The 1,139-nt window shown below is 42.4% G+C and overlaps 1 annotated feature.

Moving 5' to 3' along the window:
* Positions 283–452: an enhancer, noted in NCBI's record as "experimental_5024 CRE fragment used in MPRA reporter constructs". NCBI's record gives its function as "activates a minimal promoter by MPRAs in K562 erythroleukemia cells, with activity observed for the non-introgressed 1:222327548 variant allele {active_cell/tissue: K562}" and the evidence as "EXISTENCE:reporter gene assay evidence [ECO:0000049][PMID:34662402]".

Below are 1,139 nucleotides of genomic sequence, written 5' to 3'. Positions count from 1 at the left end.
CTTTGATCTCTTAGAGCTCTCAGTCATATCCCACTTGTGCATTAGAGACATATGCTGGGATTTGTCAGCTTAAAAAGAGGGCAAATCCTTACCCCAGAATTCTTGATATGGGAATGGTTTGCTTTGGGGAAAAGAAGGCACAGACAGTACTTATTTGATATCCTCCAGACTGCATAATATATCCGTGCATTCTTAGGCTTAAAGTTGTTCCACCAACTCTTTCCTTGAGCAGTTCAGTTCATCATAATTGAGTGTAATCATATGCCAGGTACTCTGCCAATATCTGTGGAGACAAAGAGTAAGACACTGCACCACTCTCGAGGATCTCACTGAGGAGGAGGGGAGACAAAGAAGCGAACAGAGGATGCGATGCTGTGTGTGGTGCAGGCTCTGGCAGAGGAAGGCTGAGGACAGTGCAGGAGCACGGGGTGGCGCCAGGCCTGACACGGAGCGCCGTGGAGGAGCAGACTCTGTTGACTAACTGGTGAGATACCAAGTGAAAAAAGGTGGTAAATGCATTCTAGAAAAATGAAACCGTATAAAGGCATGGCTACACCAACAACCAGACGTAAGCCAGGGAACTTCGTTATTCACACTGAGATCCATGACTAGCTGCTCCGAGTCAGGTTTCCCACAAGTCTTATTATTGTTATTATTATTTTTACTTTTATTACCTGCTCCCAAAACAGAGACAAAAAGAAGAGAAGAAAAACTATTGAAATTGTATATCCTTATATCCTTTTTGTCTTACACTATATTATCTTACACTATAAATTATCTTACACTATAAGTTCTTAGAAGATGAGAAACGAAGAATGTGTATTTTAAAAGTACCTGAGGGTCAGAGAGAGACCTGTTTAAGGGAAATACAGGGAACAACGTGACAGGTAACTAGCTTACTCAAAGTTTCCTTGGGTCACAGCATTGTGATGTCATATCGTCAAATCAGAGTGACATAAGCATTACTATGACCAGCTCCTGCCCTTGTCACTTGCTTGAACTCTAGTTTCTTGGGAGTTGGTGGTGTTAGGCTGTTCCTCAATGTATACATCCATCCCAGGTCTGTGCCTCTTTCTCAAACATTTGAAAGAACTGAAATCTCAAGCCAACACTTAGTCAATCCCCTTATATCCAGCATG

Source organism: Homo sapiens, chromosome 1 (assembly GCF_000001405.40).
Source record: "Homo sapiens chromosome 1, GRCh38.p14 Primary Assembly".
Lineage (NCBI taxonomy): Eukaryota > Metazoa > Chordata > Mammalia > Primates > Hominidae > Homo > Homo sapiens.
Note: the sequence above shows the minus strand (reverse complement) of the source record. Positions and strands in the feature narration are given on the sequence as shown.